The sequence below is a fragment of the Homo sapiens genome, chromosome 18 (genome assembly GCF_000001405.40).
Source record: "Homo sapiens chromosome 18, GRCh38.p14 Primary Assembly".
Taxonomy (NCBI): Eukaryota; Metazoa; Chordata; class Mammalia; order Primates; family Hominidae; genus Homo; species Homo sapiens.
The window spans coordinates 62,707,457-62,730,327 of record NC_000018.10 but is presented as its reverse complement, the minus strand read 5'-3'; the positions used below and the strand labels follow the sequence as shown (position 1 = coordinate 62,730,327).

The 22,871-nt window shown below is 42.7% G+C and overlaps 1 protein-coding gene across 1 annotated transcript in view, besides 9 other annotated features; it reads right to left on the bottom strand.

Moving 5' to 3' along the window:
* The window catches only part of PHLPP1 (PH domain and leucine rich repeat protein phosphatase 1), a 264,893-nt gene extending 250,106 nt beyond the window's left edge, over positions 1–14,787 (bottom strand). Inside the window, exon 1 of the mRNA NM_194449.4 lies at positions 13,069–14,787. Coding sequence (NP_919431.2) covers positions 13,069–14,644 — 1,576 coding nt within the window. The 5' untranslated portion in view covers positions 14,645–14,787. The remainder of the gene's footprint in view (positions 1–13,068) is intronic.
* Positions 13,204–13,323: a silencer, noted in NCBI's record as "silent region_9520". NCBI's record gives its function as "represses an Ori minimal core promoter by ATAC-STARR-seq in GM12878 lymphoblastoid cells {active_cell/tissue: GM12878}" and the evidence as "EXISTENCE:reporter gene assay evidence [ECO:0000049][PMID:35858748]".
* Positions 13,404–14,366: an enhancer, noted in NCBI's record as "H3K27ac hESC enhancer chr18:60383195-60384157 (GRCh37/hg19 assembly coordinates)". NCBI's record gives its function as "activates a minimal SCP1, AML or CMV promoter by ChIP-STARR-seq in primed H9 embryonic stem cells {active_cell/tissue: H9 hESC(primed)}" and the evidence as "EXISTENCE:reporter gene assay evidence [ECO:0000049][PMID:30033119]".
* Positions 13,404–14,413: a biological region, named in NCBI's record as "H3K27ac hESC enhancer GRCh37_chr18:60383195-60384157".
* Positions 13,424–13,523: a silencer, noted in NCBI's record as "silent region_9519". NCBI's record gives its function as "represses an Ori minimal core promoter by ATAC-STARR-seq in GM12878 lymphoblastoid cells {active_cell/tissue: GM12878}" and the evidence as "EXISTENCE:reporter gene assay evidence [ECO:0000049][PMID:35858748]".
* Positions 13,834–13,973: a silencer, noted in NCBI's record as "silent region_9518". NCBI's record gives its function as "represses an Ori minimal core promoter by ATAC-STARR-seq in GM12878 lymphoblastoid cells {active_cell/tissue: GM12878}" and the evidence as "EXISTENCE:reporter gene assay evidence [ECO:0000049][PMID:35858748]".
* Positions 14,184–14,413: a silencer, noted in NCBI's record as "silent region_9517". NCBI's record gives its function as "represses an Ori minimal core promoter by ATAC-STARR-seq in GM12878 lymphoblastoid cells {active_cell/tissue: GM12878}" and the evidence as "EXISTENCE:reporter gene assay evidence [ECO:0000049][PMID:35858748]".
* Positions 14,764–15,053: a silencer, noted in NCBI's record as "silent region_9516". NCBI's record gives its function as "represses an Ori minimal core promoter by ATAC-STARR-seq in GM12878 lymphoblastoid cells {active_cell/tissue: GM12878}" and the evidence as "EXISTENCE:reporter gene assay evidence [ECO:0000049][PMID:35858748]".
* Positions 15,324–15,433: an enhancer, noted in NCBI's record as "active region_13436". NCBI's record gives its function as "activates an Ori minimal core promoter by ATAC-STARR-seq in GM12878 lymphoblastoid cells {active_cell/tissue: GM12878}" and the evidence as "EXISTENCE:reporter gene assay evidence [ECO:0000049][PMID:35858748]".
* Positions 15,524–15,583: an enhancer, noted in NCBI's record as "active region_13435". NCBI's record gives its function as "activates an Ori minimal core promoter by ATAC-STARR-seq in GM12878 lymphoblastoid cells {active_cell/tissue: GM12878}" and the evidence as "EXISTENCE:reporter gene assay evidence [ECO:0000049][PMID:35858748]".

Sequence of the window (22,871 nt, the reverse complement as noted above, 5' to 3'; positions counted from 1 at the left end):
ATAGACACTTTCATTCATTATCTTACTTGATCCTCTCAACAACCTCGTGCAGCAGGTAAGAAAGAATGCAGAAAAGCCGTGTCAGTGGCACAGCCAGAACTCAAGTCCAGGTGGTAACTAGTTTAAAGTCTATGCTTCACAAATGCTGATGTGCCCAAACTGACCACAGAAGCTCATTAGGGATACGTTTTCCATATTCAGCAAATCAAGGGGGACACTTACAAGTTAACTCTGACATGTGATGCCTGAACTTGAATTCTGCCTCTCTCTTGCTCACTGTCCAAATCTAGACAAGTTACCAAACTGCTCTGTAACTCCATTTCTCTATCTGTAATACTGGGGTGATAACCTACCTCATACGGTTGTTGTGAGAATTAAATTAATAGTTATAAAGCACTTAATATTTATAAAGCACTAAACAGTAATTAGCATACAGGGTGATAGAAATGTTTACTAAATACCAAAATACTATATAATTTCTTGAACATTAGGTAGCAGGATACAATTGTGCTGAAGCAGTTCAATTCTTTTGCACTTGCTTATTCAAATTTTTTAAAAATAACATCTGGTTTGTCATTGTGGAAGAAAGCACTGTTACATACAAATACCTAAATGTGGTGACCACAGTTTCATTTCATTTAGGTTTTTTTTTTTAGACGAAGTCTTGCTCTGTCACCCAGGCTGGAGCGCAGTGGCATGATCTCAGCTCACGGCAACCTCCACCTCCCTGGTTCAAGCGATTCTCCTGCCTCGGCCTCCCGAGTAGCTGGGATTACAGCCGCACACCACCATGCTTGGCTAATTTTTTGTATTTTTAGTAGGGACAGGGTCTCGAACTCCTGACCTCAAGTGATCTGCCCGCTTCAGCCTCCCAAAGTGCTGGGATTACAGGCATGAGCCACCACGCCCAGCTTCATTTAGTATTTTACAGCAATGGGTCCGGAGATTTTCTCCTTAAGTGTTCATGTATTAAAAAGCCTATAGTCAACTACAGCAAAGGTGATTTGGAACTTCTGCAACACAACTAAAAGCCTACAGAAGAGAAACCTAGTTGTCCAACACACAGAATCTTATAAAGCCACCAAACCCAACAGCAGTACCATTTGTGTCTTGCAGTCATTTATATAATAACTAAGAATTGGTCAATAGACCATGAAAGCCCGTTTGCCAAAGATGGCAGATGTTCTAATTTGACTTTTCTATATTTGGAATGTGTTCCTTTTCCCTCCCCCATTCCCACTAAAAAAAACACTTCATTTTTTCTGGGAATTAACTGACTCAACAGCACTAACGTACCATGGGTACGATTAGAACACTGGTCGCAGGATCACAGAGTTCTATCTCAAGTTAGAGCTATTTCAAATTATTATTCCTGTAATCAAGAACTGTCATCAGTTCAAGACAACACATGGAACCCCCTTCTCAGGCTAGCCAAAAAAAAAACTCAAGGCACCACTGGCAGAGTCTACTAATTTCAATAGGCATGTTAGCCTTCCTTTTTTAAAATTAAAAGATAAACCAGGCCAGGCGCAGTGGCTCATGCCTGTAATCCCAGCACTTTGGGAGGCCGAGGCGGGCAGATCACGAAGTCAGGAGTTTGAGACCAGCCTGGCTAACATGGTGAAACACCGTCTCTACTGAAAATACAAAAAGTACCCAGGTGTAGTGGTGTGTACCTGTAATCCCAGCTACATGGGAGGCTGAGGCAAGACAGGAGAATCACTTGAACCTGGGAGGCAGAGGTTGCAGTGAACCAAGATCGCGCCACTGCACTCCTGCCTGGGTGGCAGAGTGAGACACTGTCTCAAAAAAAAAAAAAAAAAGATAAAGATAAGCCATATGTGCTTCACAATGACCTTTAAGGGGTAGCCCCCAGAATTTCTCCAGAAGGTGAAAAAAGTTCAGTGAATCTGAACAGTATAAACAGCTGAGACTGCTGCCTAATGCAAAATAAATTAGTCAAAGAGCTCAAATTCAGAAAACAGAAATCAATGCTTTATGTCACTTCTTTAAAAAAAATATTTTTTTTTTTTTTGAGTCAGTCTCACTCCATTGCCCAGGCTGGAGTGCAGTGGCACCATCTCGGCTCACTACAATTTCTGCCTCCTGGACTCAAGTGATTCTTCTGCCTCAGCCTCCCGAGTAGCTGGGATTACAGGGATGCACCACCACGTCCAGCTAATTTTTGTATTTTTAGTAGAGACGAGGTTTCACCATGTTGGCCAGGCTGGTCTCAAGCTCCTGACATCAGGTGATCTGCCCGCCCGCCTGCCTCAGCCTCCCAAAGTGCTAGGATTACACGCGTGAGCCACCGCACCTGGCCTAAAAAATTATCTCTAATACGTAAAGGGTGAAAAATACACATAGAAGCAATATTTTATATTCCAGCCCCCCTCCCCTTCCCATCCAAGCCACTTAGAGATGATACAGAATCCACAGGAAAGGAGTATCCTGATAAGTCCATATCCAGAAGCACATAAGCTGCCATCCTAAAAGTGACGATGGCGTGGGAAATTGGGGCATCAAAAAGAAATGCAGTGGTAAGGCTAAAGAGCCTTCCCTTTCTCCCTACTGTCCCTCAACAAACCCTAATACCTACCCTAAACTTACATTACTCCATATTGTAGATTTTAATCCCCAGCCTGCCAGTTAAAACAGACAAGCAAAAATGGCATAAACTCTGGAGAAAAGTGCTTTTTTTTTTTTTTTTTTGAGACAGGGTCTCGCTCTGTCACCCAAGCTGGAGTGCAGTGGCATGACCATGGCTCACAGCAGCCTCGAACTCCTGGACTCAAGAATATCTTCCCACCTCAGCTTCCCAAGTAGCTAGGACTACAAGCATGCTACCATGCCCATCTAATTTTTTTTATTATTATTATTTTGTAGAGAATGGGTCTCACTATGTTGCCAAGGCTGGTCTCGAACTCCTCAGCACAAATGATTCTCCTGCCTTGGCCTCCCAAAGTGTGGGAAATACAGGCATGTGCCACATACCTGCCAAAAGGGGCATTTTAAATCAGTGAAGAAAGAACACAGTTATTCAATTAAAATGTGCGAACAATTTGTTATTTTTCCTCCTTCCCTTTTTTTTTTTTTTTTTGAGACAGAGTATCACTCTGTCACCCAGGCTGGAGTGCAATGGCTTGATCTCGGCTCACTGCAACCTTCACCTCCCAGGTTCAAGTGATTCTTCTGACTCAGCCTCCCGAGTAGCTGGGATTACAGGTGCCTGCCACCATGCCCAGCTAATTTTTGTATTTTTAGTAGAGATGGGGTTTCACCATGTTGGTCAGGTTGGTCTTGAATTCCTGGCCTCAGGTGATCCACCTACCTCGGCCTCCCAAAGTGCTGGGATTACAGGTGTGAGCCACCGCACCCGGCCTCTCCTTCCTATCTTAAATGATGATACATCAAATTTTTATGCATAGAAAACTATAAAATACTGGCCGGGCATGGTGGGTCACGCCTGTAATCCCAGAACTTTGGGAGGCCAAGGCAGATGGATCACCTGAGCTCAGGAGTTCAAGACCAGCATGGCCAACATGGCAAAACCCCATCTCTACTAAAAATACAAAAGTTAGCTGAGCGTGGTGGCAGGCGCCTGTAATCCCAGCTACTCAGGAGGCTGAGGCAGGAGAATCGCATGAACCCGGGAGGCAGAGGTTGTAGTGAGCCGAGATCACACCACTGCACTCCAGCCTGGGTGACAGAGCAAGACTCCATAAAAAAAAAAAAAAAAAAAAAGAACAGAACAGAACAGAAAAGGAAAGAAAAGAAAAGAAAATGATAAAATACTACAAGTACTAGAAAATTTTTAAAATCCTGGAGTAGAAGAGATATTCCTAAGCATGACACAGACCCTGAAAACCTAGAGGAAAAGACTGATATAAAAGTGAACAGATAAAGAAAATATAAGTGACTTAGTAAACAAAACTAGCTTCTCTATGTAACTCCCAAAGAAATTAGTAAGAAAAAAGCAAACATCCAACCCCCCCAAAAAAAAAAAGCAGGCAAGGGATATGAACAAGTCACAATGAGTTACCAATTAATGTTCAACAAAATTAACTGCAAATTTTTTTAAATTGAGATTTTTTTCCCCAGGATCAGTTACCCTACTCACCCCCTCCCATCCATAAATACAACTACTACCTCTCATCATATCCTACCTCCACACTCAATGGAGAACATGCGTGTGTGTGTGTGTGTGTGTATATACACATACATATATATAGTGTGTGTGTGCATAAGGAAGAATAAGTTTGCCAACTATAGCAGTGTTTATACACGAGAGTTCCTTGTTACTTAAAACTGAATGTCAGCTGCACCCCAGCCATACCACCTCTCTAAGAGACCATCAAGAGAAATTTTTCCTCTGCTTCCGCATCTGGGATACTCAATATGACAGATGCAATATATTTTTACCCTTGTGTACTTACGCATTTTTTTAAAAGTTCCTTTACTCATTTAAAATTGAACAGTAATCTTTGGGGAATTAATTGACTTAGTAGGCTAACTCTCATAGAAAGGAAGCTAAAGCTTTTGCTTAAGATAAATAATTAAATTAAAATGAAATCTAGCATAAAAGGAAATCTGTCATACCCTAAAATTAGCTGGAAATATTTGTTTCCACAGTTCACAAACTATCTTTTTGCTAATGAGAGCAGGATATTTCTTTCTCTCTCTCTCTCTCTTTTTTTAAGAGACAGAAAGAGAGAGAGAAAGTATTCAAAGCAATGGCATATTTCTGATAAAGACTTCCAAATCAGCACACAACAAAAGCCCAAAGATACTGAACAAGTTGTTTCAATTATGTCACAGAAAGGTAGAACTGCGTACATGTACCTGAAAAATAAGCTAAGTTGCAATTAATTTTGACACATCTTTTTAAAAATAATTCAAAGAAGATAATGTTGAATCTTTTTAATACATACATATTTATTTTTTTATTTATTATTTTTTTTTTTTTTTGAGACTGAGTTTTGCTCTGCCACCCAGACGGGAATGCAGTGGTGCAATGTTGGCTCACTGCAACCTCTGCCTCCCGGGTTCAAGCGATTCTCCTGCCCCAGCCTCTGGAGTAGCTGGAATTACAGGCGTGCGCCACTAGGCCCAGCTAATTTTTTGTATTTTTAGTAGAGACAGGGTTTCACCATGTTAGCCAGGCTGGTCTCGAACTCCTGACCTCAGGTGATCTGCCCGACTCAGCCTCCCAAAGTGCTGGGATTACAGGTGTGAGCCACCGCACACAGCCAACACACACATATTTAAAGGGAAATTTTTTTCAAAATTCATGCTTAAATTTTTCTCCCAAATTATTTTTTTAATTCAATGATTTTTTTCTAACACTTTTATTCTTTTAACAATTTCACCTTCAAAGTACTGAATGAACTAAGAACATTGATTTTCTAACACTGTACCTCTTCTCTGCCAACTGTCAATAGTTCTATCATGCATCCCACAAAGGTAACATCACTGATGAAATCTAATTTCTCTCTCTGCAATTAAAATACCCACCTGTTCCATCAGAAGTTCCTTTCTTACAATCTGTCAAAGTGATATGCAACCCCTCAAAAGCACTGATTAGAATGAAAAGAACTAGGAAAAAACCTTGAATAGAGAAACGACTAACTGTGTAAAGCACACAATTTCTTTAACTTTCATTTTTAATAGTATTAATATAAAGAACCACCAAAGACAGTAAGTATTACACATTCACAGTGTGGGAAAAAAAGAACACTGGACAGATCATCAAAATCCTAGGTGGTGGTCCTAACTCTGTAACTGACTTAACCAATGATTCTGGACCAGATTCTTTACCTCACAGGTTTACTTTTCTCATCTATAAAAATACAGATGTTGGACTAAATTATCTCTACAACATCCTAAATTCTATTACCTGTCCAAAGTAACAGTGCAAAAAATCCATTTTCTTAAAATGTTTTTTCTCCTACTGACTCTAAGCACCGGTAGGCAAGCACACAGCTCACCATAAATAAAGCTAACTAGCCAGCAAATTTTACACATTTGTATCCCTCTAATACAGTTATTAGAGTAAACTTGATGAACTAGACTATGAAGGCATCTTGCTAAGTTAATTTAAGAATTTCACTTTAACTTAAAAGAGGATGTACTTTATACTCATCTCTGGCATGCTGAATTTTACTTCAGGAGTAGGAATGACAGGGAACGGGGTAATCAAACATCGATTCTTGTCCTAATCTACACCAAAGAGGAGGTCTGCTTTGTTTGGTTGGCAACCTCCAGCTGACTTGTGTACATTAGGTCCAAGTCCATAAGAAAAGGCAGGGGATTTGACAGTTTTAAGCCCATAGCCATGTCTTACAGAACTTAAAACAACTACAACTTTCAAAGCCCTTCAAAAAAAACAGGCTCTCTAATGAAGCCTCAGAATGTTACGAGTTGGAAGAGATCTTGGACTCGCTCTACTCCAACCCCATCGTCTTACAAATGAGGAAATCAAAGCCCAGGGTAGGTTAAAATGAATGCCCAAAGTCATGCCAAGTTTCCCAACTCTCAGACTACTTTCTCTAAAAAGCAGTACATTTTCTCTCACAGTGTGAGATAAAAGGAAAAAATTGTTTCCCAAAGTTCTGTTTTTGAAGAGGAGAGTGACTTTGACCCAACCCCCACCCCCAACACACCAGCCAAGCTCTTGCTGTATTTAAAAACATGCCTGGTATTTGAAAAGAAAGCCCAAACACTCTAACACATTATTAACTGAGGCAGGTATATGAAAAGATTCATTCTCCACCTGCTCTTCCTCAGATGTCTGATTCAGAAGAAATAGAGAGCAACAAATACAAATCTCTTCCTGCTTAAACAGAATGTGAGAAAAACCCTTTAAAAAAATTACAACCAATTCAAATTCTCTCTAACTTCACTTTCTAATTAGATTTCACTCATTATTGAAATGGTCCAAAACCAAATATTTCAAATTTCATCAGTCTTCAACTGAATGCTTTCACAAACTAGAAGCAAGGCTAATTTACTTTTAGCCAAGCTCCAGTTAGAAAAAAATATGCCAAAATTCTGGATGTTTTTTGCTTGTGTTTTTCTAAAGTATTGATATCTCCAAAATCATACAATATGTGCAACCTCCAAACAAAGTATTTTATGGAGTTTTCATTATTAACTTCTAGGTCACAAACTCAGAGGCCACTAGGCTTACACCTCCACAAGACACTTTATTGTTAAACACACTTTACGATGTATAAAAATCTCAAATGTAAAAAATACAACAGGGAAAAAAATTACTTCAGTATGCATGTGGCATTACAAAATGGTTATGCCTTGTTTCACCTAACATACCAAAAAGTATATGAGGCCAAGTCATGGTAACACAACAAAACCATTCCAACTCTAAAGTCAAAGAATAACAACACTTCATTAATCCAGTAACTGTTATTATGCTTGATAAAAAGCATAATATCACACATCTTCAAAGAGTTGCTATTTCACAGTTACCTAAATATACTAACATCTTTTAATCAAAGTATCATTAAAGTCTATTCTTCCTAAGTACTTGAGTTTCAATTTATCATAAGTTTCTGGAGTTGAAGTTTCATACAAATCCAGTCAGTCATACAGCCTTAGGTTATAAATATCTAATATATCTAATGAATTCATATGGTGGATTTTGTTTAATTATATTATCTTTAGAAAGCCAAAGGTAAGTATAAAAAAGGGTTTGCCGTAGAATCACAGTGACGTCAGGCCAGATTCAAAACCCCTCATTACCAGTGTTCCACCAGATGCATGTGATTAAAGGGATGGAATGGGTTTAGAAGGTGGAACTTTAAAGAAAAAAAAAGACTTCATTTTCCCAGGCTGTTTTAGACATTTTGATAACATCTCTTTCTCTTTTTCAAAATGTCAGGCGTCTTTAAAGGAATCGTTTTTCTATTGAGCGGCTTCAGGATCTCTGGACTTTCACAGTACAATCAAACCCTTCTCCAGTCCAGATAGACTGAATTATGTTAAACCCTGGCACATAACAAAATCATTAAATCTAAGATGCCTCATTTGACAGATGTCTCATTAAATTCACTGCAAAATTAAGTACGAGATGCCTTTGAAAAGTTGGGAGAAACCTGTTAACTCTAAGAAAACTTTCAGAGAGAGCTATTCTCTCAAAATCCAGAGTTCACTCACGTGAAATAGAAGATATTAATAGTATGTAGCACATCTAAAATCTCCTGCCATGGGAGAAATGCCGCTGTGTGTATGTGTGTTTAACACATCCCTGGGGACCCAAACAGGATGGAAGCTGAAAAATCAGGGCACACACCACCAGCTGCTTAACAAAATTCCACAAATTAAATTCAACAAATGTTAAACTAAAATGCCAAGGACTATACTAGGCTTAGATCACATACAATGTCAGTGAATGTTATGTTACCAGTAAATGAAAAGCTAATTTCAGGATTCTAAGAAGAGAATGAGAAACAACAAAAACATTTTACACTTAAAAAATAACTTATCTTTGTATATATCAATCATTTAAGGTGGGTGATTTGATAATCTTATAGCAACCAAAAGATAAAACTTTCAACCTAAAACTTTACACAAATTCATTTACACTCATCTCCTGCCCCTACAATTACTTCAATGAGTACAAAAGACACACGAATTTAGGAATAACTATGAAATTCAAGGAGAAGAACTTACTATCTCTAGCACTATATAACATGAATTATAAAAATTATACAAGAGCACAATAACATCAAGAAAGCATCATTAAAAGACAACTCGATTTTTTAATAATAAGTTTAAGCAAATAAGATATTTAATGAGAAATATTTTCAGTTACTTTAAAAGCCATGTTTTAAAGCAACTGAACTGTCACACATACACACACACACACACACACACACACACCCACACCCCTCAAAAGTTACCCACTTTTCAGGCAAAGTGTTAATTCTCTACTTCCCAATGAAGATTTACAGTTTAACAAATAGGTATGCTTGAATAAGAGAATAAAGAACTATTACGTAAACTTTAATTCATATCAACTTAAATCCAAGCATGACTATTTGCAACCAGGATATTTAGAACACTTCAGTACTCTTTCCATACTGTCTCCTTATTTGTCCGTCTTGGTTCTTTACATTTTTAAAGGCACCATGATAAACAGAACCATCCACATTTCACAAGAAATACCACTTTGAACTAGAGGATAATACCACCTCATTACCAACAAAAACAGCATATTTTTGGAATGCTTTTAACCAAGGGAAAAATTCAAGTGTAAATTTAATTTAGCATCGATTCATGGAAAGTGATACGAATTGCAAAATAAAATACCCAAGCTCTCTATTCTCCGCCCTCCCGAGGACGGAAATACGACGAGTCAGATCTCTCTGTGCATCAGTTTCTCCATCTGAAAAGAGGATTGCCACTGACTCCTCCTTAACACTGTTTTTGAAAGGGCGAATGAAATAATTTATGTAAAAACCCTTCAAGATGTTTGAAGATAATAAAAACCAATGTATTGTAGATGTTATCACGCCATAGTAGTGAAGGGTGGCATGTACTTTACAACAAAAACAAACAAATATAAAATATAAATATAAAAATGTAAAATACTAAAAAAAAAATTTAAAGCCTCTGTACTGAAAATTAAAGGGACTGTTCAAGCACACACTGGTGTCACACGTTCGAACCGCGTTACTCAATACTGCTGTAATTATAGTAATAAGAACCTGCTTGTCAATATTATAGCTTAATGCTGAACCACCTCTCCCCTCTTGGTTTGCATGTAGGAAACCACATTAAGGTTTGATCATTCCCAGAAGAGAAAATAAATAAAATATGACAGGGATAAAAAGATTGTTCCCGCGAAATCCCAAGGAGTCACACACAAAAATACCTTGTCCGAGATTCACTAGGTACAGTGAATGTGCACTTTATTCTGTCAACACCCTTTGTCATTACTAAAATTCGAACAGAAATTGCTAGACTACTCAGATCTAAGTGCTGGGAGAAAAGAGTCAAAAAATATAAAAAGATATAGTTTAATGCTGCCCTACATCAATGACAAAGGCTCCCCAGAGAGTCTAAAACAAAAGCTCATTCATGTTTAGGAGTCCATAACTTATGTCGAGCAACCTTAAGTTCTTGAATTTTTTAACCTATAATTACTCTCTTTCAGGCAAAATTTAAGATGTCCGATTTTAAAAGGATATTAAATACTTAAGTAACTTCAGATAAAGCTAATTAAATTTTCCCATATCTTAAGTCAGCTAAGAGAATGGTGGCCTGGTAGATGCTATAACAATTTTCAAACCAAGTTTTCATTAACAACTCTGTAATTAGATAGTACCTTTATCCAGGGCCTTCTCGCTCATTAAAGACTTTCATTTTACTTTACCCAGATAAATATTTAAATATTCAAAGCAACCACAAATGGCTTTCAAAGCCTCTAAAAAACAACCCTAGTCAGGTTATAAATACTAAAATTGAACAGAAAGGTGATCTTCAAGAGAGCAGACCCTCAAGACAGTAGATAAGCTCAATTTAAATGCAGAAAAATATTCAAAAGAATTTGAAAGCAACTTCCTAGCTATCCTTAACCCCAACTATACGTAAACAAAACAACATGCAGCAATAAATTTAAAAATAAGTTATGTATAAAATTACCAATGGGGTACAGAATTTTCAAAAACCCTGTAAAAGATGTCATCTAAAACAAACATTAATTATCCTCTTCCTACAGAAAAAAACTACTACCAAAATGTAACTCTGTCCTGTTGAGGTGTCCTATATTCTGTTGGAACACAGAGATCATTTCTAGGAATCACTTCCAGCCTGGTGCAAACCTTCACTATATGTGGAGTCCTGACAACGTTTCCATAAATGAGACTACGCTTTTGTTCATCAATAACTGAACTTCTTTGCAAAAATTCAAGTGGATTCACCATACACTAAATTTTGTTCTACTGCAAATGAATAACAGCAGAGATGTCTGGTATATTAACTTAGGCTTAAAATAAGCTCAACTTTGCTTTAAAGCCAAAATAAGCAATTAGACAACTTCGCAACAATCAGGCATTTTTCTTCTAGGACACCTGTACACTGGCTTCATGTTCAAGAATAGGGTGGATACTTTGTGTGGCACCCCCACACATCTGAGTATATGTAAGCACATACTCAGAGGCATACATGCATTTATGCTGTACATATAGAAACAAGGCAGTAAGTGCAGAATGAGGTAACAATTACTGCTTTTCATAAAGAACAAAACAAAAAGATTAAAAGATCATGCCAAACATTTTAAGATTTAACCAGGAAAGACTTTTTTAATATTGAGATGAGGTTTTGAGAAAAAAGAAAGTGCTTATTACCCATTAGAATATTTTAGACACTCTTGAAGAGAATCAAAGGGAAACACAGATTCAAACTTTGTTAACTGTGACACCCAAAACCTTTCCGTGGACACTTATCACAATGGATATATCCAATCATAAGCAAACTCTTTCCATATAAAATTTGTTCAAACTCTAATACATCCCTTGTTTTTATATACAGTTCCTTCCATGTAGTTAAAGGGCACCTATTTTTAATGCTTTTGTAAAATAACAATATTTTACAAATTACATGAATTAAAGGAGAAAAGAATACAGTTGTTGATCTTACATAAAAAATCATCTATTTCCTGGACCATAAACTTTAAAAGCCATGTCATCGAGTTGACAAATTGTCTTCAGATACTGCAAATGCTACTGTATTACGATTTGGTTTTCTTTACAAGTAAAAGATTCATCAGAAATCCACTTAAATTTCAGAAAAACTTCCAAGAAATTTAAAGGGCATCTCTCTCACCAGGAATCCTGTCAGTCTTGCATATTTCAATGTGGGAGTAAAGATGTAAAGATTTCTTCATGCAAACTAATTAAATTGCCACTGGGACACACAAGCTGGACCAAAAGACATTAAATTGTAAAGAATGGCTACAAATTAATGGAGTTACAAGTATGATTATTTTCCACCATCACCTACAACCTAAAAACGTAAAGTTAGCGAAGAGTTAACACTCTTGATTTAATTTTGCTATGAGAACTTTATTTTAAATAAAATTCCTTATCACTGAGAACATAATTATTCAAACCAGAGGAGGAAAGGGATGTAAAACTACTTAGAAAACTCAAGTACAATATCCAGCATCTATAGCTCCTGAATTTAGTACTAGCCAAATCTTCAGCCAAAAGAGAAACATTACATGGGTCACCCCTAGTCAAGAATTTGCTAATGTACTGAAACAAGACGGGGGAAGATTTCAGGACACATCTGAAGAAATAGCAACCACTTAAATCCTTCTTGTGAACCTTCCTGCAAGGCGTATTGCGGTGGTCAGTTCTGACCATAAAGGCTGGAAGAAAATGAGAGAAACAGGCAAAATCTTTTTTTTTATGCAAGACAAACTTGCAGACGAAACAGAAATCGAGCAAAAAAAGCGCTGGGGAAAAGTATCAGTTAAAAAGGCACCCTTTTGTCAGATTTCTAATGAGGGCTCCGTGGGTAATTTATGAGTGTGGCAGAGCTGAATAAACAAAGGCACCAGTTGACAAGTCAGGAGCTCCCGGTGGCACATACAGCTAGAACGCTCAACTGGACAGTCAAATGCAGGCAAAAGTGTGATAGAGCATTTTTATTGTCATTTCTTCTGTCCGTCTTATGCTCACGTGACAGTTTACCTGAAATCCCAAACTGCCTGAAACCCAACATGCCCCTGAGGAAGCACCTTTATGGTTAAAGGTGCTCTTGCCGCTTTCAGAGGGATCTGCTTCCTGTACTTCCTGGTGATTCAGCCACCTCTTTCACATTGCTTTCCAACCTCTGAGCCCTCAAGATTGATAAAACGTGCAGATTTAAAGATTGCTCAATCTAGTACTACACAGACTGTATGAAAAAGCTGTAAAGTTTAAGACAAAGACTCATCAGGACCCGCACTTACTCTTGGGTTGGGCAAACTGACAAGCAATTTGAATCACTCCTCGGTCCTCGGCAGCTTTTGCAACCACCCGTCAAGGCAGGTGACTTCCTTACCTGCATAGAAGCGGATGAGGCAGCCAATCTCCGAGTCCATGCCTTCCTCCTGCACCCTCCACAGCTCCCCAAATCCCAGTTGGAAGAGGTAGTCATTTTGGATCTGCAATGGCTTCTCCTCCGCCTCCAAGCGCCGGGTGGTCTCTCCGTGGAGCTGCACGTACAGGGTGGGCGGCGGGGGCGGCGGAGGCGCCTTCTCCGCGGTCACCCCGCTCCTCCCGGGGGTAGACTGGAGGCCTCCCGGGGCCACGGCTGCCGCTGCCTTCTCCTCGCACGACCCCTCGCGGACGGCCCCGCCCGGGCTGTCAATGGCCCTCGGGGCTTTCTGCTGCGGCTGAGGCGAGGAAGCCGTCTGGGGAAGCGGGAGGGGCTGCGCGGGGTGGCCGGGACGGCGGGGCTGGCCCGGGACCCCCGTCGGGGCCGAGGCTGCGTCGGCCTCGAGCTCTTCCGACGACGACGAGGAGCCGCCGCCGCTGCTGTAGGGGTCCAACCGGTCAGACACGCTCTCGGCGCTGGGACTCAGACTGAAGCTCTCGGTGTCGGAGACCACAGGCCGTGGGGCGCGGGGCGAAGAGACAGGGCCCCCAACGAACGGCTCGCCGGGGCTGGAGTCCGAGGGCGCTGGGCTGGCGCGGCGCGACCACCCGCCCGGGCCGCCGACGGGCAGGGGTAGGTCGGCGGGGGGCGCGCGCGGAGGCCCCCCGAAGGCACCCGGCGCGCTCCTCGCGGGCGGTACCTCCGAGTCCCGCGGCTCCGGGGGCGCCAGCCGGGGGCCGGCCTCGGGGGGCGGTTCAGCGGGCTCCCGGGCGGCGGCGGCTCCGGGCCCCTGGCCCAGCACCTTCACCACGCCGCCGCCTTTGTGGCCCAGCTGCAGCAGGCGGGCGGCCACCTCGCCGGCCGTGGTGTCCAGTGTGCAGAGCACCGGGCGCAGGTAGGTCGAGGCCATGTGGCGGTCGAAGACGTGCACGCAGCCGCGCTGGAGCTGGTGCCTCACCCAGTCCCGGTCCGACGGCTGCAGCTGCAGCGTCTGCCGGTGCTTCAGAAGCAGCGTCTTCCTGTCCAGGCTCCGGGTGCACAGCGACGCCGAGGCCGAGCAGGAGGCGGGGAGGCCGGCAGCGCCGGGGGAGTGCGAGGCAGCAGCGGCCGAGGACGACGACGACGAGGAGGCGGCCGCGGCGGCCGCGGACAGATTCCTCTTCAGCCGCCCTCTCCTCAGCAGGAGGGAGTTGGCGCCGCCGCCGGCCCCGGGTACGGGGGCAGCCCCGCCGGCAATGGGCTGGGGCGCCCCGCGCCGCCTCCTGCGCCCGGCACCCCCCGCTCTGCCCGGCAGCGGCCCCGGCGGCGCCTCGCCTGGGGCCTCTTCCCGCGCCCCGCTGCCGCTGCCGTTCCCGCCGCTCGGGGCCGCCGGGGTCAGCGCGGGCTCCGGACTCCGGCCGCCCCCGGCCGCCGCCGCCAGAGCCGCCGCGGCCGCCGCTGCTGCTGCTGCTGCCGCAGCGGCGGCCGCCGGAGCCGAAGCTCGGTCCTCCCTGCCGAGCTCGGGGAGTCGCTGTACCGTGGCCGCGGCGGCGGGCTCCATTGCAGTGGGGCTTCGCGTTTCCCCCCCAGCTCCGGAGGCAGCGGGCGGAGAGGGAGGCGATGAGGCGGAGGTGGGAGACGGCGGCGGCGCGCGGAGAAGGGAGAAGCCAATGGCGTTGTGCGCGGCCGTTCCAGGGGATTATGTGGCGATTCGGAGCATTCCGTCGGTGTCTCAGTGTTCCATCCCGCGCGCCCGCCTCGCCGCCACCGCCCCCCCGACACACGCCCTCCCCGCCCGGGTCGCGGGCTCCCCAGCGCCGGCCCCGCCCGCTACCCCCGCCTCAACCCGGCGAACCAGCCGCGGATCTGGGCTCATTGAATATTAATCATGCGCCGGGAGCGGGAAGGCGGGAGGCTGGCAGGGCGGGAGGGCCGCGTGTGCCTCATAAATATTCATCGCCGGCATGACGGCATTCCAGGGAGGAGTGGGGAGAGCCAGGGGATGGCCGGAGGCGGAGCTTCAGGGTAAACAAACGTGACGCGTGCGTACGAGGGCGGGGTGGGGGGCAGTTTCCCGGGAGGTTCCTGAGCCGGCCTCGGAGAGGGCAGTGAAGACCGACGCGCGCGGTAAACCTTGGGAGTTGTGGTTCTCGTAAGGGGATCGGCAATCCCGAGGGAAACATGGTGGACTACAAGTCCCAGCGGTCCTTTGGTTCTGCTTCTCCTGGCCGCCAGCAGCTGGCCGTGGCCAGTGAGTATTGTGCCCTCTGCCGTTGAACTCTGTGCCAGAGTTCTTAATGAACACGAATGCTCATGTTCATTAACTTGTATTTTACCCGCACTCCAGCTTGCCAGATGACTTTTATTTTCCCTACTAATTAAAGGTGAGGGCTTTCAGGGACTGTAAACGTACGAAGGTCGCAGGTCCTGGTCCTCACCTGCGCCCATTGTATGAGATAGAGATACACACCCGTCACACCACAGCATCACTGGCAGTCTGAGTGGGCCAACCTCACTTTTTCCCCACTTTTTCAAGACCCAGGAAGACAGGCAGCGTCTGGGAATTCTAACTGAGGCTGTCGTTGAATGTGCTTGTTCGAAGGCACAACCCTAAGTCTGTCCTCTCCCTCTCCTGTACCTGAAAAGGAAAATAGCAAAGGACTGAGGTTTCATTGTTTCCCATTGCTCTTGAAGTCTGAAGTAGTTTAATGACACAGAAAGCACTGGTAAGTAGAAGAAACATTAGAATGGAGTATGAGATGGGCTTTTTCCACGTGTTCTGTCTTAACGTCTTCTCTGGTTTTTTTCTTTCATCATTCAGGGAAAAAAAAAATAGTTTCTACTGCCACAATGTTTAGTCGTGGTCTGAAAAGTTGTATTTTTCGTCAGTTGAATCAATGTTGTAATCATTGGGCAGTTTACTATTTAAAAGAATGTTGTACACCTTTTTAATTGAATTACCATTCCCCCAATTGCTTTGTAATTCGGGATTTTTCTTTTCTTTTTTTCTTTCTTTTTTCTTTTTTTCTTTTTTTTTTTTTTTTTTTTGGCCACAGAGTGGGTCTGTCGTCCAGGCTGGAGTGCGGTAGCGCGATCTGGGCTCACTGCAACCTCCGCCTCTCGGGCCCAGGTGATTTTCCCACCTCATCCTCCGAGTAGCTGGGACTACAGGGCTTGCCACCAAGCCCGGCTCATTTTTTGTATTGTTTTAGTGGGGGTGGGAAGTCCCTTCATGCTGCCCCGGCAGGTCTCAAGCGATCTGCCCGCCTCAGCCTCCCAAAGTGCCGAGATTACAGTCGTGAGCCACCGCGCCAGGCCCTAAATCCGGATTTTCACATGTGAAACTTTTAAACAGTTTTAAACCACATACTATCTATGACCTGTTTTAACCTCAATAAAGTGACTAAACTTGCAGATGAAGAGTGAAGGGGGTTGGAGAGAGAGACCAACTGGAACTTACCGCTTAGGTTATCACAGTTTCATTGAACAAGAATGAAGAAGCTGTGGAGATAAAAATAAATATTTCTCAATGATTTTTTACATTCCTGATGATTTTCTGTATTTTCATTTAAAGTTTCACCCCTTAGCCTCATGAATCTATTAATAATATGTATTTTATTTAAATTCAATCAACAGCAACATATGAAAAATTAGGGAGATTGCAAGTTCTCCCAAGAGTGATAACATTTTCAAGTCAATTAATTTAACAGATAATTACAAACATTTATTATGTACCAGTCACCGTGTTATAGCAGTTGAATAAATCACACACTGTCCCTGCCTTCATAGAGTTTACAGGTTAGAAAGAATAACATTCAAAAAATGCAGCAGAAGTACAGAAGGGGAAAATACAAGGTGCCACAGAAATAGACATAAAACAAGAGGAACTAACCTAGTCTAAGAAGTCAGGCAATACAGACCAAAGTTTGAATGAAATTTTTTGGAGTCAGTGAAAATGTGCATTTGTTGAAGGATCAGTCTCTGAAAGAAAGGGAAGAACCAAAGAGGTAATTATATTGAGATAAATTTCAACTACACTGATCTGTGTTGTGCCTTCAGTAGCCCCGACACAAACTATTTGTTCTAGAAATTGAAAGAATAGTCCTTTAATTTAGGCATCCTTTAATAAAATTTAAAAAACAAGGCACATGTTAAATTTCAGTACTAAAACATGGAATTTGTATACCTCTTTATATTCCTTAGTTGATTTCCTACAAACCCCTTTATATTTATTTATTTATTTTATTTTTATTTTTTCTTTTTTTTTTTAGACGGAGTTTCCCTCTGTCACCCAGGCTGGAGTGCAGTGGCGCCATCTCGGCTCAATGCAACCTCCACCTCCCAGGTTCAAGCGATTCTCCTGCCTCAACCGCCCAAGTAGCTGGGATTACAGGCACACACCACCACGTCCGGCTAATTTTTGTATTTTTAGTAGAGACAGGGTTTTGCCATGTTGGCCAGGCTGGTCTCAAACTCCTGACTTCAGGTGATCCATATGCCTCGGCCTCCCAAAGTGCTGGGATTACAAACGAGAGCCACCACGGCCGGCATGTTTGTTTATTTATTTATTTATTTATTTTTTGAGATGGAGTTTCACTCTTGTTGCCCAGGCTGGAGTGCAATGGTGCCATCTCAGCTCAATGCAACCTCTGCCTCCGGGGTTCAAGCGATTCTCCTGCCTCAGCCTCCTGAGTAGCTGGGACTACTGGCGCATACCACCACGCCCAGCTACTTTTTAAATTTTTTTGTAAAGATGGGGTTTCACCATATTGCCCCGGCTGGTCTCAAACTTCTGACCTGAAGTGATCCACCTGCCTCGGCCTCCCAAAGGGCTGGGATTACAGGCGTGAGCCACCACACCTAACCCAGAATGTTTCTTCTAATCATAAATTCTATCGCCATTGCTCCTTCTCTAAGAAATTACAATACCGCATTGAATCCACCCATGGTTCCTATTATTTAACATTACACAATCACCGCAACTCTGCCTTTTTTATTCTCTAGCAATTTTGTTTACTCTTTGAAGGTATTTATAACTAAAACACCTTTTTCAAGGGGAAAAAAATTTGTACCAAAAACATTGCTCAGGTTGGGCGCAGTGGCTTACGCCTGTAATCCCAGCATTTTGGGAGGCCAAGGCGGGCGGATCACCTCAGGCCAGGAGTTGGAGACCAGCCTGGCCAACATGGCGAAACCCCGCCTCCACTGAAAATACAAAAAATTAGCCGGGCGTGGTGGCGGGTGCCTGTAATTTCAGCCACTCAGGAGGCGGAGGACTCAGTGAGCCGCGATTGCGCCATTGCACTCCTCCAGCCTGAGCAACAAGAGAGAAATTCTGTCTCAAAAAAAAAATAAAGACATTGCTCAGAGGATTTAGTATCCAAATAATGGGGAAATGGGGACTGGAGAGCCATCATACACTCCTGGCAGATAGGGGCTTGGTACTGGGATACCTAATACTAAGTGGTGTCGGGAGGAGGCAGGAAATGAACAGGATGAATATTGTTACAGTACCTCAGCATAACGAAGAAGGAAATACATTCCTACCTCATAAAAACAGTGTTTGGAGGGGTGGGGACCTAAAATACAATTTTCCTGGATTTCATGCATAGAGTCCATCATCTGAAGATGACATATTCCATTGTATGCAGAATAATGTAAATCAGAGCTAAGGGGAGAGCAAAAGGGCCGGGGTCCACTGTGTAATCCTTCCCTTGTTCTGACCCAAGCCCCCAGTGATGTTACTAAGCTTGGGGTAAGAGAAGAAACAGAAAGAAAATGAGAGCTCCTGAAGAATAAACAATCCCTTACCGCCAGATCAACTGGATCCTTGTAGTTGAAAGAACAAATTGATAAAGGGCAATGAAACTTGTACTTAGAGCTTGCTAGTATCGGGAAACATCACCCAGACCATCTGTGCCAATGCACTCTATACAATTTCTCCAAATAAGAAAAAGATTTCAATAAAAGACAAATGTGTTCCAGACACCCATGAAATGGCAGCTTCTCCTACTTGAAAGTGGAGTGGGGAATACACCAGTATCCTAAAACCACATACATCATGAATGCCCCCCTTTAAAGTGTTCCAAATGTACGTTCTAATACCACATTTCTGACTAACCACACTTTCCAAAGAATCCCATTTTGAAATGCTAAAAGATAATCCTGAAAAGAAACATCAGATGCAAAAGTTGTGAATCCTGATGCCAACTTGTTAAAATATTTTCACATCTAAGTTTAGAAAAGGAGAACACAATTTTCAATTTATTGCCACAGTTTACTTTATGCTGTGTGATTTATAACTGACTTGCTATGATCTGCATCTAGGTTAATTCTGTTTGAATCCTTAGAACTAAGATAAAAGAAGTCATCTTTGGAGGTTTATTTTCTAATATAAGCAGTTGGAATTTTAATAGAGGCATAAATTGATAGCTGGGATGATTTCAGTCTGAGTTGTTAAGGGCTCAGCTGTGTCCAGAAATAAACTCAGAAAGATGCAATATACAATGTAATACATTTAGTTCCTACATTATGAACAAGGGATCTAATTATAGTTTCACATTTTTATATCCCTTGAGCTACTAGTGGTTTACCATGCCTAAATTGTTCACTGTTTACTCATTCTTTTTTACTATGAGGGACCCATTTAGCAAATTACTGCTCTAGTGCACTAAATGGGCCCCAGGTGGCCAAACTGAATTAATATGTTCCCTGTTCACTGGCAGGATGAGACCTTATGGTCTCTCTGAAGTCTTACCCCTCCCTCATAAAATTTACAATCTGAATTCAATCAAGAGCTTGGATTGCTACTATCATTTTAGGTAATCTGTTTTATAGATACGGCTTGATAGCTTTTCAGATTTTAGTGCACCCTTTTTAATCCCATAATTCTTTGTCTTGTTCTTATTTCTCACATCCTGCCTCACCAAAGTAAACAGATGTTCCATACGTGGCAACAATTAAGTTTTAGAACAGAAATACAGGCGGCGTAAACCCACCCCAATACCCTAATAATGTAAATTACCTGGGACATTCATTCAACAAGTACTTATTGAACTTTTTTTTTTTTTGAGATGGAATCTCGCTCTTGTCACCCAGGCTGGAGTACAGTGGCGCAATCTCCGCTCACTGCAAGCTCCGCCTCCGGCGCTCAAGTGATTCTCCTGCCTCAGCCTCCTGAGCAGCTGGGATTACTGGCGCCTGCCACCACACCCAGCTAATTTTTGTATTTTTTTTTTTAGTAGAGATGGGGTTTCACCATGTTGGCCAGGCTGGTCTCAAACTCCTGACCTCAGGTGATCCACCCATCTCGGTCTCCCAAAGTGCTGGGATTACAGGCGTAAGCCACTGCACCCGACTACTTATTGAACGTTTAAGTGTAGGTATCATTCATCCTAAGTAAACAGTATAGACAAAAATACCTGATCTAATGAAGCCTATTTATAGGCATTGGCATTTAATAAAAAATCTTCAATTAAAATCAACCTATTCTCTTCCGTTGTACAGATAATTTTTGTTTGGGGCAAACAGGAAACATGAAAATCTATATATACAAATTACATATTAGAGTATAAATATTTCTTCTCAAAGTCTCATTTATTCTTTCCCTTATGAATGAAATCATCATACAATTGTTTTAAGTACTCTTATAATATGAATACATTTAAAATATATTAATTTTAAAAATTAATTTATACCTAGCTTTTTAGAAACATATTTTGGATTCTAACCTCACACAAGCACCTAATACCTGTTTGCATCAAGATTCTTATCTAGGACAGGCACAGTGGCTCATGCCTGTAATAAGAGCACTTTGGGAGGCCAAGGCGGGTGGATCACCTGAGGTCAGGAGTTCCAGACCAGCCTGGCCAACATGGCGAAACCCTGTCTCTACAAAAATACAAAAATTAGCCAGGCGTGATGGCTCGTGCCTGTAATCCCAGTTACTCGGGAGGCTGAGGCGGGAGAATCGCATGAACCTGGGAGGCAGAGGTTGCAGTGAGCTGAGATTGGGCCATGGCACTCCAGCCTGGGCTACTGAGCAAGACTCCATCTCAAAAAAAACAAAAGATAAAAAAGATTCCTATCTAACAAAAATCTATTTTCCTACGCCATCCCAAAACATTTATTCTGATTCTTCCGTGACTAAAAAGAGAAAAGTATTCTCCAGATAATGATTCCTCCATACTTACATTCATTAATTATACCGTGAAGAAGCAGCATGGATATTCTTTTCTTTTTTCCGCCCCATTGTAGAGAGGTTTTAGGAGACTCCATCAGTCCCTAGAAATCTTGCCCTTTTTCCCTCTACTCCCTGCCACATCTAGTGGTCTAGACTCCTAAGCTTATTAGTTTCCTGGGGCTGCTGTAATAAACCACCATGAAGTGGGTGGCTCAAAACAACAAAAATTTATCCTTTTGTTACCGGTAAACTTGAGGGCCCCAAAAGATGGGGTCTTTCCTCCTTCATTGCTGCAGAGCCAATACACAACTGAAAGTGAGCATCACCCACAGCAAGGTTTAGTCTGTGGCCAGGGAATGAAGAAGTGGGAGCATGGCTGGCAAATCACCTTCTCAACTAGTGCAGGATGAGGGGGCTAAAATGTAAGGCTTCTTAATGAAGGAGTTGGACACTAAAAGTGAGGGGAGAGTCCAGGCATGGTGGCTCACACCTGTACTCCCAGCACTTTGAGAGGTCAAGGCAGGTGGATCGCTTGAGGCCAGGAGCTCGAGACCAGCCTGGACAACATGATGAAACCCCGTCTCTACTAAAAATACAAAAATTAACTAAGCATGGTGGCCTGTGCCAGTAATCCCAGCTACTTGGTAGGCTGAGGCAGGAGAATTGCTTGAACCTGGGAGGTGGAGGTTGCAGTGAGCTGAGATTGCGCCACTGCACTCCAGCCTGGGCGACAGAGCGAGACTCTGTCTCAAAAAAATACTATTTTGGCCAAGCGTGGTGGCTCACGCCTGAAATCCTAGCACTTTGGGAGGCCAAGGTGGGTGGATCACCTGAAATCAGGAGTTCGAGACCAGCCTGACCAACATGGTGAAACCCCGTCTCTACTGAAAATACAAAAATTAGCCTGCATGGTAGTGGGCGCCTGTAATCCCAGCTACTTGGGAGGCTGAGACAGGAGAATCACTTGGACCGAGGAGGCGGAAGTTGTAGTAAGCCACGACTGCGCCACTGCACTCCAGCCTGGGCAAAAGAGGGAAGCTCCATGTCAAATATATATATATATACTATTTTTAAAAGGATATTTTAATACATACAAAAAGTAGGAAGGACAGATCTCAGCATAGAAAAAGTGGTCCTTCAAATTGAACAAAGTTAACTTTATGAAAAACTTCTTAATATGTCCTTTTTTTCTCTTCTATTACCAAGATCAAGAAAAATGCCATCCCAGGTCAGTTTCAGATCTCAAGCTGGCATTTGAGAATCAGAGCCAGAGCTTCACAGAAGTCCCTGTCCCCAGCACCTTACTACTATTCCATAGTCAGCACTAGATGGTCACGGTAACTTTCAAGCTGTGACTTTCAAGAATTTAGCAATTTACAGCCATCTGTTGCCATGTGTACCAAAATTTTGCAAAATATGACCACTGCCTCTTCACCTCATAATATCTGCGATCTTACCCATATCTCTGTTGTAAAATTGAGATGGCAGAAAAATCAAGCAGCCAGGCTCATGCTCAGGTGGGTGCATTAATTAATAAATCAGATACAGTGACAGTGGCAATGGCATAATAACATTCTTAGTCTCCTACACATGCCATAGTTTGAAA